We start from the raw sequence: 15,799 nt of genomic DNA on the forward strand, positions 1-15,799 counted from the left end.
TTTGTAAACAAAGGCTATACTCCAAGTCTGATAAGAGAATTCCATTACACAAAATTTAAAATGGTCATCACTCCCTTAAACAGTAAGCAGGACAAGGAAAAATGTCACTACACACCTTTTTTTTAAAAGGCATCAAGTTAATATTCATGAAATATAAAGCCTTGAGTTTCAACCTCCCAAACAAGTTTTTACTACAACATTATTCAAAATAAGGCTATGCATCTTCCACACACAACCAAGGCAACTTTGAGATAGCTTACAAGTCTTTTCATTGTTAAGGGGAAGCTATCGCTGCAAAGTCATTTTCTATTACAGTTATTCCAAGTTGCCCGCTAAGAAAATAGAAAAAGCCTATGTTTTGTCACCTATTACCGTCACTTAAAAATTGCTTTTTATGCATAACTCTACGTGGTTGTGTTGCTTTTGGCCTGTTAAAGGCAAGGCAACATTATCTCTGGATTGCCAATAGTTTCTCCTTATTTGGCTAACATTGAGAGATCCCAATCAGACTACTATAAAACTTTAATATGCACAAAGCATCCATTTTGAGAAAAGTTTGTGACCAGCTTTCTTTTTTCCCAACCCCAAAAGAAAAACCAGAGCTTGGTAACCGGCTTTGAAAAGAGTGTCCCCTATTTATTCTTCTCTTTCTAACACCAGTGCACACCCGAGGACCTGGGGCTCAAGGATCTCTGACACTGCGGCAAACTTCGAGTATCAGACTCAACACGTTCCGGTCCGGAGGTGGGCAAGCCCTTTAGAGGGCTTCCTTACTCTACCCACTTCCATCCCCTTCCTTTCAGCCGGTGCAGATCAGCTAATTACACCCTGTTTTCCCCTCCCCAGTGACCAAGAGTAATAAATGAGAAAACAGGAAATCGTTCGTTCAGGGCACTCGGCTTAGGGCTCTAGATTACTATTATTATCATCATTTGTAATCAAGTCCTAAAAAGTGCAACAAATCCAATGCCCACCTACAAGTCAAAGATGTTCATCTGCCTAACCGTCCGTAATGCCCCTTGTTAGTTTTCTTCCTTCAGCATCCACCCCTCCGAATATACCACTGACACCGGGGCCCAGGCACAACCCCACTACACCCCTCCTTGTCTCGACCCCAAATCCCAGACTTATCCACGAATGGCCCTGGGGCCCCAAACGACCACAGTTCCTTTTCCCCTATGCCCCGGAAATCACCCGGTTCCCAACTCCACCAGCAACTGTTCTGAAGGGGGGCCTCAAGCCCAGCGCCCTCCCTTCCACCAGCTCTCCCTCCCGCCCTCTGGGGAAACCGCCCCCTCACCCCGCAGCAGGGAGTCTCCCGCCGCCCCCAGCCTCAAGAGGTGGAGAACTGAGGGCAGGCCCGAGCAGGAGGCCGACGAGAACCCTCACGGTCAGGAGAGCCGGCGGCGGGGCGCACAGACCTGGTGCAGGGCAGTGAGTCCGTCCACATTGGCGTAATTGATGTCGGCGCCGCGGTGCAGCAGCTTGAGGACCTCGTCCGTGTCGCCGCTGGAGCAAGCAGCCAGGAAGACGGCGCCATCGTCGAACTTCACCTTGGTCTTCTGGCGCTTCACCACCGGAGGCTCGAGGTCCGTCTCGGAGCCGATCCAGCGTTTCAGCTGCTCGTTCCGCTTCTGCTTCGCGTCCGCCATCTTCATCCCCTCTCCTGCCGCCGGGTCTTCTTATCGCGAGGGGGGGAAGGGGGAGGCGGAGAGGGAAGAGAGGGGAGGCAGGGGGTGTGTGAATGTTTCTATGAGTGCGGGCCAGAGGAGGGCTGGGAACCCGGAGCCGACGCTCGAGACTTCCAGTATCCCACAGAGCACTGGGGCGGCGCACCCGGCCGAGCGGACCTCCCTTCCTACCACAGAAGCCCTCCCGCCCCCAGCACGGCCACCCGTCACCGGCGGCCAATCTAACGTAACTTCGCGAGATCCGGACTGGGAGGCGCCCTTCGACCAGTGCGCATGCGCCCTGGGCCTGTGCCCGCCCCAGGAAGAGCGCTCCCGCGAACTGCGGCGGTGGTGGCTGGGCCACCAGAGGGAAGCGGGTGTGGCCCAGGCAGCGGGGGCTGGGACAGACCTGGAAAGGAGGAAGCGGGGAAGGAAGGTTGTCCTGTCGGGCTGGGGGCTCCCGGGAATCCGGAGGCCAGCAGTGGAACCGCAAGGCTCTACAGGGCAGATCTGCCTCCCGTGCTGTCTCAGCTACGCCGAGTCGTTGGCTCAGGGCGGAGGATTTTCCTATTGGCCGCGTTATTTGAATGGAATGGAGGATAGGTCGTGAAGTAGGTGCTGCTGGTTGATCTTTCTAAGGAACTCAGATGAACTTGGGCATGTCAGAATTAATAACCTTTTAAAAGTGGGGTCTGTGTGGCCGAGGGTTTTAATGGTAAGTTCTTGAGGTGACCACCTATTGACAAGGGTTGACCTGCTGTAATTGCTGTGGCTTCCTGCCAACCCCCACTTTAGAAATGTTTTTCTTCCTCTCTTTACTTGTTTTGTTTTGCTTTCTCTCACGCTTGGGTTCTCTTCTTTCTTCCTTCAGTGCTTTAAGCCTGTCTCGTACTACCCATGAGCTTAGCTCAGCCTGATTACTGGTCCTTACCTTTTAAGGGATTTCTGGTTACAGCTCCATCTCTTTCTAAGGAGGGGTAAAGACCTAGCTGCGTCTAGCATTTAAACGGAACGTTAAGGAAGGCAATTAATTCAACCACTATTTATTGAATACCTACTATGAGCCAGTAACTGTACTAGGCACTGAAGATACAATGAAAAATATGACATTTATTTGAACCACCTCTTGAGTTCAGTCGCCCAAACAAGACTAATTTATCATCGTCATAAAAAAAAGACTTTAACTTTGCCTTGTATGACCACACGCGCACACACATAGGATTTGTAATACTGATGTCTTATGAGCCATCTATCTACAATCTCCACCAATTGATTTTACTGAACACTGCATTGTTACCATCCACTACTATTTTTAGAGCATTTAGAAAAGCCAAGATAAAAACCACAAAACCTTACCATGGAAGTTTAGGGGTCATCTAGACAGAGTCCCTCAAGAACTAATTAATTTACTTAATTTTACCCAGAAGTAGGATTAGAATTCACTCAGCAAATACTATGCACCTGTTCTGGGTCAGGCATTGTTCTAGGTGCTGGAGATAGAGCAGTGAACAAATAAGCTTTTCTTACTCTCAGCATGATGCCTTTTCCAGTGGACTACTTCACAGCCTATCATATTGAGAAATAAAATAATTGAGTAAAACGTGATTAGGAAACTGTCTGCCTGTGAGACAATTTTCTGAACCACAGTTATTAGGATAGCGATAGAATCCAGGTCAGGGTAAAAATATTTCCTCTGAAAACGTTGTAGGAATAGAAAATGAATGTAATATTCATAAGATATACCATTGTATGTTCATTACATACATTAAAGATAACATCAGACCTTTGAATACTCATGGTGTTAGGTACTGAAAAACATTGTTAGCACTAAAATACAAAATCCCTATCCACAGAATACAGCTCTCAGAATAAAAGAAAGGAACTTGAGGATTGCCTTGTCAGCTCCTGTCTCTACCTAGGCAACTGACAGCATATCCTGTTTTCCAAGAACGTTATGGCCTATGTGGTAGCTCTTAAAGTGCCCTTGCAGTATAGATGGGAATCTGAAGATTTCATTCAGGCAAAAGGAATTTAGTGGGAAGTATGCTATTCCTGATTCAAGCACTTATTTCAGGATGCAAAATTAATAATAGTTTATTAATAAAACATAATTAAGTTCATTCAGTTCCCAGAAGCTGTCAGGGAAAAAACAACCAAGGAGGGCTGCTATCATGTGCAAATTTCACTGAATTTAGTTTTTCTTCTTTCGTGGCTCTAAGGGTCAAGATGCTCTATGTTAATATTGAAAGTACTCTGAAACTGCCACCTACTTTGTCTTTAGGGAGGATTTTTTTTAAATTGTTGTTAGTGAATTAATGGTACTGAAGACCTTGGGTTAATTCTAGAACAAGCAAAATTTTTTATTGACACACACAGTCCCAGCACAGTGGCTCACACCTGTAATCCTATCACTTTGAGAGGCTGAGGCGAACTCTGCCCAGGAGTTCGAGGCTGCAGTGAGCTCTCTGCACTACAACCTGAGCGACAGAGCTAGACCCTATCTTTACCAAAAAAAAAAAAAAAAGACACACACACACACACACATGCTTTTATTACATATTTGTCTAAGCAGAACAAATGGAAAAAATGCAAATATTTTCACTTCCTAATGGCTTCTAAACAGATTGGGATGTGAGGATACATTTTAGCTCCTTTAAAGCAAATTAAGCCTTAAAATAGAAGTACAAATAAAACTATACTTACTAATTTGCATATATGTATATATAAAAATATATTTTTGGCTGCACCAAATCAATCATATTGGAGGTTTTTGTTTCTGAGACAGGGTCTCACTCTATCGCTCAGGCTGCAGTGCAGAGGCATGATCTCAGCCTCCCAAGTAGCTGAGACTACAGGCGCGTGCACCACCAGGCTTAGCTAATTTATTTTTTAAGTTTTGTAAAGATGGGGTCTACCTATGTTGTCCAGGCTGGTCTCAAACTCCTGGGCTCAAGTGATCCTCTGCCTTGGCTTCTTAAAGTGTTGGGATTACAGGCTTGAGCCACTGTACCTGGCTGGGGGTTTTATTTATTACATGCACAAGATTGTCAGAATGAGATCTGTGTATATCTTTTTCAAAGTTTAATCACACTACTGACATTCCTTACCATTAATTTGCTTGCTAATTATGATCAACTTAATTTAAATTATAAACATATTTGAAATGCTGACATGCACAGCTTAGATTTGTTTCTGCTATTATAATCTCTTTGTTAAAAATGTACATAAGATATTAATAAATACTTTGATATATCTATGTTCTCTTTATCCCTAATTTAAACCTGAGATACTAATTTACATTTATACACTTGAGAATAGAACAGTCAACAAGGACCTTGTTTCTGTCTCCTGTATTCTACACCTGGGCCAAACTCTCTTCCATTGCATAATAATTTCTTTCCAATGTTTTATTTAAGAACCTGAAGAAAAGGCTGGGCACGGTGGCTCATGCCTGTAATCCCAGGGCTTTGGGAGGCCCACGTGGGCAGATCACCTGAGGTTAGTAGTTCGAGACCAGCCTGGCCAACATGGCAAAACCCCCGTCTCTACTAAAAATACAAAAATTAGCTGGGCGTGGTGGCACGTGCCTGTAATCTCAGCTACTCGGGAGGCTGAACCCGAGAATACATGAGAATTACTTGAACCAGAAGGCGGAGGTTGCAGTGAGCCAAGATTGTGCCACTGCATTCCAGCCTGGGTGACAGAGCAAGACTCTGTCTCAAAAAGAAAAAAAAAAAGAACTTGAAGAAAAGTTTACAATCCATTCACATCATAATTTATTTAGTCCTACCCAGGGAGTTGACCAGAACCAACATGGAACCACCCTAACTTGCTTCAGACTCCATTGCTAGATCAATCCTGATTTCTAGATCATAGCATCTAATCTTTGCCTTGCCTCTGGATTACAAGGTGAGTTTCTAATTTACTTTAGGGTAAATTTTCTGCCACATCTGACTCCATTTCAAGAAACTAACCCTATCACAGTACAAGTACTGGCTAATATGCTCATAAAGCTTCTTTTGTTCCCCAAAACTAGGACTCAGATGAGTGTCTGGCAACAATCCAAAGTGCAGTTATACTGCTAAAGAGATAACTCACCTCCATTGCACATGACTCCCAACCTGTATCATGTGACAGAACATCACATGCCCCTTTCATATGAATTAATGTTTCCCAAACTTTATCAGTTTTATTGCCAAATTCAAGAACCGCAAATACTAGTATTTGCTTAATGTTTTCTTTAACCTTTTTAAGACAAATTTATTTTAAAGCAACATTATGTTGCTTTGGTAAGTGAAAAACGTTTCCACTTGACATAAAGAAGACTGTTAAAGCAAATACAATGAAAACAAAACATTAGTTAGGTTGTCTGTCAAGGGTCTGAGCCCAAGCTGTGCTCTCAATTTGTTAAAAAAGGGATATTGGTAAGGGTTGGACATGTGAGCATCAACCTAAGATTTTTCAGTTTAGCATAATCGGAAAGATTAAAAGGTAGTGAAAAAAGAATATTGTGCTAAGTGCTTCACTGTTGTTTTAATGTTACATCTACCTTATAACATTACCTCATGTACCACCAGTCTACATGTCCTACACTTTAGGAAACTGACTGACTTTAATTAGTATGTGTAATAATAATTACGATTAATTAAGTGAAGGTTATAGGATAGGCCTTAGTGGCACCCCCAACTCAAGGTGTCAAGGCAAGGCATTGGCAGGAAGGCCAATTTGTATGAAAATATCTGTGTGCTGAAGGAATTTCAGAAATAAGAGTCATTCTCCATGGCACTGAAATTAGAAGAATAAATTACAAGATCAATATCTGGAAGGCAAGTTTAGGTGCATGAGTTCTATCTTGGATCACTAATATTTAGTTGAGGGATCCATTCAATTGTCCTTCAAATCAAATCCTAGGAAAAGCTTTAAAATTCCTTCACAGACCAGAGTGCAAAAACAAGGTATTCATGAGAACCAAAACATGCTGACCGTGCTCAATTTTGACAGGTGGGAATATCAACTTCATGTGGTTGTCTTAAAGATTAAATGAATAATGTATGTGAGAGAGAAAAAAATTTGAGATTTTATTTGTGTTCTTGTATTTGCCTTTTCCTTCCCTTATTTAAGCTGATAGCAACTCTGCTTCCTTGCCTCAGGACAGGTTTGTGGCAAGGAAGAAAGCAGAAGTTGCTTTCAAAACATTTTCCCTCCTACTTGAAATGTCCACCCACCAATTTCTATTTAATAAGAATTTAGGGCTAGTGATCTGATTGGAATTAGTATATGAGGTTGCTAGAAACTTATTTAAGTTCTATTTGCATAGCATTATAAATCAATAAAAATAGCACTGTTTTCTAAATTTGCCTTTATTTTCACTTTACAAAAATTTTCACCATAACTCCATGGAATGTTATTTTTACTTAGGGTGGAACCAAGCAGAGGGGTTCACCCAAGCCATCTTTGGGTGCTTCCATGGGAAAGAAGGATTTCACTGAGAATAATAAGTGACACCAAGGCTCAAAAGAATGAGAGAGAAGTCTGTTGGTCTCTTGAACAGCAGGGATTTGCTCACAGATCTCTGGAAGTAGCCAGAATGTGACAGGATCTCAAAATGAATGGCTGCTTCATGGAGGCTGGAACATAAGCCTGGGACTCCCAGTAGCCAAACATAGCTGTGCCACAAACATGGCTGAAATGTAGCAGTTTGGTGGATCCGAGGTCAGTCATTGAAAATGTATTGATTGGCACCTATTCTTTGTGAATCATTATTCTGGGTTCTGGGGTCACAGGAGCAAATGAAACAAATGAAGTACCTGCCATCAATGAGCTTACATTCTAGTAAAGAGGGACAGAAAATGAATACATTTTAAATGAATAAATTCAGATACCGCTAAATGTAGTGAAGAAAAAAATTGGGCTAAAGAGAGCGAAAAACAATTTCTGAAGTTACTAGCAGTGAAGGGTGGGGGAAGAGAAGAGACGGATTTAACCAGGAAAGATCTGAGCTGAGGGTGTATCCAGGTTTTCTGGAACCTGATATTATTACAGTTTAGAGATTCTTCTTCAAGAAAAAGAATTTAAAATTACAAATAATTAACTTCAGGGCCTTGGAAGGGGTCCACTCAAGTGAACAGAAAATTATGTGCTCCTTATAAAATATATGATTTAAAACTACAACAGTGGCTGGCCGTGGTGGCTCATGCCTGTAATCCCAGCACTTTGGGAGGCTGAGGCAGGTGGATCGCGAAGTAAAGAGATCGAGACCAACCTGGCCAACAATGGTGAAACCCCGTCTCTACTAAAAATACAAAAATTAGCTGGGCGTGGTGGCATGTGCCTGGTGTCCCAGCTACTTGGGAGGCAGAGGCAGGAGAATCGCTTGAACCTGGGAGGTGGAGGTTGCAGTGAGCCGAGATTGTGCCACTGCACTCCAGCCTGGCGACAGAGTGAGACGTCTCAAAAAAAAAAAAAAAAAAAAACTATAACAGTAATTGAGTGTATAAACACTCAATTTGTTTCCTCAGCTAGATCTAGAACCAAGGATTCTAGAAAATATGTGTCAAAACCCAGCTCTCAGTTTTGTTAGCTATCACTTAACATCAGTTTAAATCATTCATTTATTCACCATTCATTAAGCCGGTATTTATGAGTACCCTATTGGTACTCTGTATGTACTAGTGCTAAAACTATAACAATGTAAACACTCATTCCCTGCAATCAACAATATATACTGGCCAAAGATTCAATTCCATGATCAAGCATAGCAGCATTAATAGTAGAGCAACCTCCATTATGTGCCTAAGCATTACCTAAATTTTAGCCTGAGTTTAACCAGGTGTTTTAGATCAAATATCACTTTACTAGAAACATGGGAGATAGAAGAACATATTAAATGATACCACACATACTTAATCAAACAAACCTGAAATGTAGGATAATCTCTAGGGCACTGGCCTGGTTTCTTTTAAAAAGTCAGTGTTATAAAAAATTTTAAATAAAAATGTTCTAGATTAAAAGATACTGAAAATCATAATGACTAATTAAGCTTGTAAACTTTGATTAAGTTCCGGTTTGGAAAAAAGTTGTATGTAATTGATTATTGGAAAAATTGAATATGGATTGTGTTTTAGATGATATTAAGGAATTTTTGTTATTTCTGTTCTAAGATGTAATAATGTGATTATGTAGGAATGTATCCTTAATTTAAGGAGATGAGTATGTTAAATATGATGTTGCAACTTCCTTTCAAATGATTTCATGAAATAAAAAATAAATACATACAAATGCATGTAAGTAGACAGTGCAAGTTTGGCAAGATTTTAATTTCTGAACTTAGGTAACAGGTATCCAAGTGTCTGTTACTATTTTTTCAGCTTTGCTGTTTGATATTTTTTACAATGAAATATTGAGGGAGAAAAAGAATGGATTGTGGGGAGACTGTGTTGTGATTCTCTAATAGAGTCAATGCCATTACTCCAGAGATATTTGGACATGTGGGTGAGGTGTTTTTGATTATCAAAATGATTGTGGAACACTACTGTCGTTTAGTGAGGAAGTGAGTAATAAATAACTTGTGATGTGTGGGAATTTTCCAAACAACAACTAAGTACCCTTCCCAAAATGCTAATAACTCCCCTGTTGAGAAATACTAAAATTAAACCAATAAATAGCTCACACAAAAAATATTCCATTGACCTTATATACAACTCTAATGTTTGTTCTCCAATTCACAAAAAAGTACTCCTGATAAAGAGTCATTTATATTCATGGCTTCCATATCCATGTTTTCTTTCTTTTTTTTTATTATACTTTTAAGTTCTAGGGTACACGTGCACAACGTGCAGGTTTGTTACATAGGTATACATGTGCCATGTTGGTTTGCTGCACCCATCAACTCAGCATTTACATTAGGTATTTCTCCTAATGCTATCCCTCCCCCAGTCCCCCAACCCCCAACAGGCCCCAGTGTGTGATGTTCCCTGCCCTGTGTCCAAGTGTTCTTATTGTTCAATTCCCACCTATGAGTGAGAACATGTGGTGTTTGGTTTTCTGTCCTTGTGATAGTTTGCTGAGAATGATGGTTTCCAGCTTCATCCATGTCCCTGCATCCTTTTTTATGGCTGCATAGTATTCCATGGTGTATATATGCCACATTTTCTTAATCCAGTCTATCACTGATGGACATTTGGGTTGGTTCTAAGTCTTTGCTATTGTGAATAGTGCCACAATAAACATACGTGTGCATGTGTCTTTATAGTAGCATGATTTATAATCCTTTGGGTGTATACCCAGTAATGGGATCGCTGGGTCAAATGCTATTTCTAGTTCTAGATCCTTGAGGAATCACCACACTGTCTTCCGCAATGGCTGAACTAATTTACACTCCCACCAACAGTGTAAAAGCGTTCCTATTCTCCACATCCTCTGCAGCATCTGTTGTTTCCTGACTTTTTTTTTTTTTTTTTTTTTGAGATGGAGTCTTACTCTGTCGCCCAGGCTGGAGTGCAATGGCACCATCTCCGGTCACTGCAGACTCCACCTCCCGGGTTCACGTCATTCTCCTGCCTCAGCCTCCCAAGTAGCTGGGACTACAGGCACCGGGCACCACGCCTGGCTAATTTTTTTTTTTTTTTCGTATTTTTAGTATAGGCGGGGTTTCACCGTGTTAGCCAGGATGGTCTTGATCTCCTGACCTCGTGATCCGCCTGCCTTGGCCTCCCAAAGTGCTGGGATTACAGGCATGAGCCACCGCGCCCGGCCTGTTTCCTGACTTTTTAATGATGACCATTCTAACTGGCGTAAGATGGTATCTCACTGTGGTCATGATTTGCATTTCTCTAATGACCAGTGATGATAAGCATTTTTTCATGTGTCTGTTGGCTGCATGAATGTCTTCTTTTGAGAAGTGTATGTTCATATCCTTTGCCCACTTTTTGATGGGGTTGTTTTTTTCTTGTAAATTTGTTTAAGTTCTTTGTAGATTCTGGATATTAGCCCTTTGTCAGATGAGTAGATTGCAAAAATTTTCTCCCATTCTGTAGGTTGTCTGTTCACTCTGATGGCAGTTTCTTTTGCTGGGCAGAAGCTCTTTAGTTTAATTAGATCCCATTTGTCTATTTTTGCTTTTGTTGCCATTGCTTTTGCTATTTTAGTCATGAAGTCCTTGCCCATGTCTATGTCCTGCATGGTATTGCCTAAGTTTTCTTCTAGGGTTTTTATGGTTTTAGGTCTAACATTTAAGTCTTTACTCCATCTTGAATTAATTTTTGTGTAAGTTGTAAGGAAGGGATCCAGTTTCAGCTTTCTACATATATCCACGTTTTCTATTCATTCCTCAGTCCACTCAAGTTTGGTTCAACAACCACCTTCCTTAAAACCAGTTTTATCAGGATTAGCACTGATATCTTTGCTAAATCCAAAGGGTGCTTTACATTATTTGACCACGGTGAATATTTCCTCCCTCTGGAAATTTTCGCCTTGTCTTCCATGACACTACTTTCTTCTGGGTTTTCCTAACTCTCTAATTTTTTCAGACTCCTATTATAAGCCCCCTTTTTCTTTGCGTACATCTTATTTCACAGGATTTCATCTTTAGCTCTTTTTTCTATTTAATTTTTCTCAGATCCCCACCTCAAGGCAAAATATTGCACCTAAGTCCCATACCTATTTACACGACTGCCTACTGACATGAAATCTTCAAGCCTAACATACATGAAATGGAACTTAATATCCCCCCACATACACTTGCTTCTCTTATAGTCTTTATTTCAATTAATGACTAGGATCTACTTAATGCTTTAGGGACCTACCCAGGAGACATGGATTCCAAATGGCAAGGGAGGAGAGTGGTAGGGAAAGAGATGGCTTCCAGGAGGAGGTGACACTTAAGCTAGGCGACTAATCAAGGGAGAATTGAATGAGGTGTTTGGAAGTGATGCAATGTGAGTTAGGGAAGACGCTCCATGTGCAGAAACAGAAGCAAATGCACAAAGGAAAATAATGCTACACTTTTTTTCTAAAAGTGGAGAGCAACTCAGAATTGATGAAGTATACTTTTTTTTTTTTTGCAGGAAGAATAGGCAAGAAATATAGTTGGTAAAGTAGGCAGAAAATAGATCATGAAGAATCTTTTATGCCATTCTAAGGAGTCTGGATCTTATCCTATCAGGTCAGAGTTCACAGGTTGATTGTTCACAGACTACACAAGTGGCTTGTTTGGCTTATGCCGTGCTTTAAAACGTGATGAATTATTTGTTGACATTTAAAAGCTAAACCGTTTCACATAAAATCTGGATTTCCAGTCTCTTTTGAAGAACTGGAAGTTCTGGCCACATTTTCCCGCATTTGACAGGCTCTAATGTCACCACTCTGCAATAGTCCCCATCTGATCTGCTTTGTTCCGTTGTCACTTCTGCTACCTGCCTGGCACCTGAGAGCTTTGGCAGTTGCTACTTCTGCTTCAGATGATGAGAAATTATTGAAGCAAGAGAGTAATACCAGATATTTGGGTCAGAAAGATCATTCTGGAAGAAAAATAGAGGACAGGCACCGGGGCATAGCGAAGAGTGCCCTAAAGAAATGAATGCAAATTCTAGAGTAACAGTGGATATGTTTACAGAGGGAGAACAAACACATCACTTTGCCTTAGACACCATTTATCCTCCTAAACCGCGGGATAGCTCAGAGGAGACAAGACTCATGCAGTACTGAGGTGACAGTTGAAGATGGCCTCAGCTAGAGCAATGACAGTACAGATGAAAAGGAGGGGCCAGGAATCAATAAAGCTTAATCATTGATTGTATGTGGCATGTAAAAACTGGAAGGAATGTAAAATAATTTCCAAGTGAATGATAAGAGAACAAGGTGCTAAAAATCTTCACTTATCACACTAATAAAAAAATTATTCTGTATTGAACAAATTTGCCTTCATAGTGATTAGCTTACTAGATCTATTTTCACATATGCCTAGTAACTATAAATTAGTCAATTATACATCATTTCTAAGTAAAACTCTAGGAAAGATAATTAAATGCAAAATGAATGGAAATTTTAAGAACTTAACGATCACTAGGAACAACTAAAGGTTTTTTGAGAAATGAGCCATGCTAAATTAGGCTCGCTTATCATTTTGTTGCTTGTGTGTTTGTTTTGTTAAGAATGCTAGGCTAAGTCAGGATCACGTAGTGATAGAGTCTGAGAGAGTAGGCACAATTAATAAAACTTCTCTAAGCTGCTTTGTCATGATAGGTACATGGTAGTCATTGCATTTTTTAACCTGAACACATTATTTCTCATACTGTATCAGCTTTCCATTTTTCTTTTTTCTTTCTTTTTTTTTTTTGAGATGGAGTTTTGCTCTTGTTGCCCAGGCTGGAGTGCAGTGGCGCGATCTTGGCTCACTGCAACCTCCGCCTAAGGTTCAAGCGATTCTCCTGCCTCAGCCTCCTGAGTAGCTGGGATTACAGGCATGCACCACCATGCCTGGCTGATTTTGTATTTTTAGTAGAGATGACGTTTCACCATGTTGGCCAGGCTGGTCTCAAACTCCTGACCTCGTGATCTGCCCGCCTTGGCCTCCCAAAGTGCTGGAATTACAGGCGTGAGCCACCGCTCCTGGCCAGCTTTCCATTTTTGAAATGATTCTCCACATTATCCTAGTTTCTCTTTTTCAATTTTACTTTCCATTTTTAATTTTTTCATTTGGTTTTCAGTCACTAATTGAGTGACAGTGTTGTCTTCTACCCATTGAACTTTAGATATTTCTAGTTTTCCCAAACTATATGACTTTTATTTAAATCCTCAATATTATTACACCTATTGTATATATCTTTACCTCTCTGACTCATAATTTCTCACTTCTCATACGCACACATGTGTACACACACGCTATATATATATGTATATTCTATAGTATACTATATGGAAACGATTTAATTTTTATTTTACTTGCTTTCATTTTTCATTATTTTTCAAATTCATCCTTTTGAATTTTATCCATATGTCTTATTTTTATTATTATAGATAAAATTCTATAACTATGACATTCTTTTTATACCCTATTATGTAGTTACTCCAGTAATTACATAATATACATATATACATATAATGTACACAATAGACGTATAAAAATAAAGAAGCTTGTACATGTTTCATTCACACCTATGTTGGTAAAAGAAGATATGAAAAACATACTGAGAGGAATAAGGGTTAGGTTTGCCACATGCATACAGATTTGTAAGACATGAATGAGTTGAAATTATAAACGAGAATGACTTTAATTACATCTAAGTAGGCAAACAGCCAAGATCTTTCTGTCTGAGAAAGTAATTAATTTTCACTTTTCTTTAGCGTAGGTTAAAGAAAAATTTTAGAGTGGATAAGAAAGCCGTTCCTCTGTTCATTTTCATAAAAATCATTGCAATATCTAATCTCTCAGGAATAGGAAATGTTTATATGGCATTAGATTAGTTGAGATCTGAAGTGAAAGCTTGAAAACCTGTCTCAGTAACATTATTCCTGTACTTTTATAGCTATTCTTGTGTTTTTTACTGTGACACCCTGTCTGGTTTCCTTTATCTCCAGATTCCTATTACAGATCAACCCTGTTTATTTCATTTCTAGAGGTAAAAGTTGACATAGTATGGTTTTCTCAATTGTAAAGGTTTCTGGTATGCTATCGGCTTAATTCTGAAGGCAAGACAAATATAAGAAGTAAAGAGGAAAGAACTAATATTTTGGCACGATGAAGCTGTTTTAGATATTGATTATGGTGATGTTTATATAAAAGTATACATTTGTCAAAGCTCACAGAACTATACATGAAAAAAGCTGAAGCTTACTGTGGGTAAATTATGTTTCACTAAAAAGAGAGAGAGAACCTAAGACTGTCAGTCACAGCCAGGAAAAACTGTTATGCCATATTCAAATGTCAGATTCATATTCACATGAAACATTTCCTGTTATTATAGTAAATATTACTGATGTGACCTTCTATATAAATCAGTTTTAGCTTATCTACTTTCATCTTCAAAACTTTGAAAGAAAATAGGTTCTCAAAAGCCATTTACACGCTAATCATTAGTTTTTCAGAAGTTTACATTTGAATATAAGTTAACAGTACTAAATTGGTTAACTAAGTAAGTGTGGTTGATGGCCAGCCTGCAGGATGGCCCACAGTGCGTCTTGCCTCGGGGTGTTCACACCCCTGTGTAGAGCACTTCCACAGTGAAAGGGGGTGATATATGTAAGGAACAGGATATTGAGGAAATGGCAGTGTGACTTCTCAGCCTAGGCCATAAAAGCATTAAAAGTTTCTGCTTTGCTCTCTCAGGGTAACATACTCATTGCGGAGCGAGCCAACTGCCTTGTTGAAATGATACTCAAGCAGCCCTATGGAGATGTCCACAGAGCAAGGAACTGTTCCTGTGAGGAAGCCATCTTAGAAGGGCATCCTCAAGCCTAAGTAAAGCCGTCACGTGACTGACGTCTTTTTTTTTTTTTTTTTTTTTTTTTGAGACGGAGTCACACTCTGTACCCAGGCGGGAGTGCCGTAGCAGGATCTCGGCTCACTGCAACCTCCGCCTCCCGGGTTCAAGAGATTCTCCTGCCTCAGCCTCCCGAGTAGCTGGGATTGGCTAATTTTTGTATTTTTTTAGTAGAGACAGGGCTTCACCGTGTTGGTCAGGCTGGTCTCGAGCTCCTGACCTCAGGTGATCCACCCGCCTCGGCCTCCCAAAGTGCTGGGATTACAGGCGTGAGCCACTGCTCCCAGCAGATTGATGTGTTAAATGCGACCTTATGATAGACCTAGAGCTATGCCACCCTCAAATTCCTGACCCATAGACACTGTGAAATAATAAATGCTCATTGTTGTTTTAAGCTGCTAAGTTTGGGGAATATTTTTGTTATATTGCAATAGACAATAAACACACTAATGTTTTATTTTTCTGAAACATATTCAAACTCATATATTCTAGGACCAGCTACACTGACACAGAATACTATTTGCTGGAATTTTAAGCTCAATGATTTTAATTAATAAAGTGAGGATATTGAAATATATAGACAACGCATTGAGTCTAACTTCTAATACAAACAAGATGGTAAAGAAGTGATAGTTGGGGAATTTTTTTTTT

The 15,799-nt window shown here is 40.3% G+C and overlaps 1 protein-coding gene and 1 long non-coding RNA gene across 7 annotated transcripts in view, besides 8 other annotated features; one reads left to right on the top strand and one right to left on the bottom strand.

The window, feature by feature from the left end:
• The window catches only part of PPP1R12A (protein phosphatase 1 regulatory subunit 12A), a 161,898-nt gene extending 159,711 nt beyond the window's left edge, over positions 1–2,187 (bottom strand). For 2 of the 4 annotated variants that reach the window (NM_001244990.2, NM_001143885.2), the window contains exons 1-2: positions 2,080–2,187; positions 1,422–1,678 (exon numbers count right to left, since the gene is read on the bottom strand). In NM_001244990.2, the coding sequence (NP_001231919.1) occupies positions 1,422–1,658 (237 nt within the window). In that variant the 5' untranslated portion in view covers positions 1,659–1,678; positions 2,080–2,187. Of the gene's footprint in view, positions 1–1,421; positions 1,825–2,079 lie in introns of those variants that run through there. The other 2 variants (NM_001244992.1, NM_002480.3) reach the window with 2 other exon arrangements.
• Positions 644–1,209: an enhancer, noted in NCBI's record as "H3K27ac hESC enhancer chr12:80327697-80328262 (GRCh37/hg19 assembly coordinates)". NCBI's record gives its function as "activates a minimal SCP1, AML or CMV promoter by ChIP-STARR-seq in naive H9 embryonic stem cells {active_cell/tissue: H9 hESC(naive)}" and the evidence as "EXISTENCE:reporter gene assay evidence [ECO:0000049][PMID:30033119]".
• Positions 1,010–1,069: an enhancer, noted in NCBI's record as "active region_6686". NCBI's record gives its function as "activates an Ori minimal core promoter by ATAC-STARR-seq in GM12878 lymphoblastoid cells {active_cell/tissue: GM12878}" and the evidence as "EXISTENCE:reporter gene assay evidence [ECO:0000049][PMID:35858748]".
• Positions 1,210–1,773: an enhancer, noted in NCBI's record as "H3K27ac hESC enhancer chr12:80328263-80328826 (GRCh37/hg19 assembly coordinates)". NCBI's record gives its function as "activates a minimal SCP1, AML or CMV promoter by ChIP-STARR-seq in naive H9 embryonic stem cells {active_cell/tissue: H9 hESC(naive)}" and the evidence as "EXISTENCE:reporter gene assay evidence [ECO:0000049][PMID:30033119]".
• Positions 1,210–2,339: a biological region, named in NCBI's record as "H3K27ac hESC enhancers GRCh37_chr12:80328263-80328826 and GRCh37_chr12:80328827-80329392".
• Positions 1,240–1,329: a silencer, noted in NCBI's record as "silent region_4683". NCBI's record gives its function as "represses an Ori minimal core promoter by ATAC-STARR-seq in GM12878 lymphoblastoid cells {active_cell/tissue: GM12878}" and the evidence as "EXISTENCE:reporter gene assay evidence [ECO:0000049][PMID:35858748]".
• Positions 1,410–1,709: an enhancer, noted in NCBI's record as "active region_6687". NCBI's record gives its function as "activates an Ori minimal core promoter by ATAC-STARR-seq in GM12878 lymphoblastoid cells {active_cell/tissue: GM12878}" and the evidence as "EXISTENCE:reporter gene assay evidence [ECO:0000049][PMID:35858748]".
• Positions 1,756–2,050: an enhancer, noted in NCBI's record as "tiled region #5962; HepG2 Activating DNase unmatched - State 1:Tss, and K562 Activating DNase unmatched - State 1:Tss". NCBI's record gives its function as "activates a minimal TATA promoter and a strong SV40 promoter by Sharpr-MPRA in HepG2 and K562 cells {active_cell/tissue: HepG2 | K562}" and the evidence as "EXISTENCE:reporter gene assay evidence [ECO:0000049][PMID:27701403]".
• Positions 1,774–2,339: an enhancer, noted in NCBI's record as "H3K27ac hESC enhancer chr12:80328827-80329392 (GRCh37/hg19 assembly coordinates)". NCBI's record gives its function as "activates a minimal SCP1, AML or CMV promoter by ChIP-STARR-seq in naive H9 embryonic stem cells {active_cell/tissue: H9 hESC(naive)}" and the evidence as "EXISTENCE:reporter gene assay evidence [ECO:0000049][PMID:30033119]".
• Positions 2,008–8,122, top strand: PPP1R12A-AS1 (PPP1R12A antisense RNA 1). 3 transcript variants are annotated; one of them, NR_146533.1, is made up of 3 exons: positions 2,008–2,385; positions 5,455–5,579; positions 7,089–8,122. It is a non-coding gene; the product is annotated as a PPP1R12A antisense RNA 1 (long non-coding RNA). The 3 variants fall into 3 exon arrangements; NR_146534.1 differs by lacking the exon at positions 5,455–5,579; NR_146535.1 differs by lacking the exon at positions 5,455–5,579 and having other exon boundaries at positions 2,008–2,281.
• The last annotated feature ends 7,677 nt before the right edge of the window (positions 8,123–15,799 follow it).

This window comes from Homo sapiens, chromosome 12 (assembly GCF_000001405.40).
Source record: "Homo sapiens chromosome 12, GRCh38.p14 Primary Assembly".
Taxonomy (NCBI): Eukaryota; Metazoa; Chordata; class Mammalia; order Primates; family Hominidae; genus Homo; species Homo sapiens.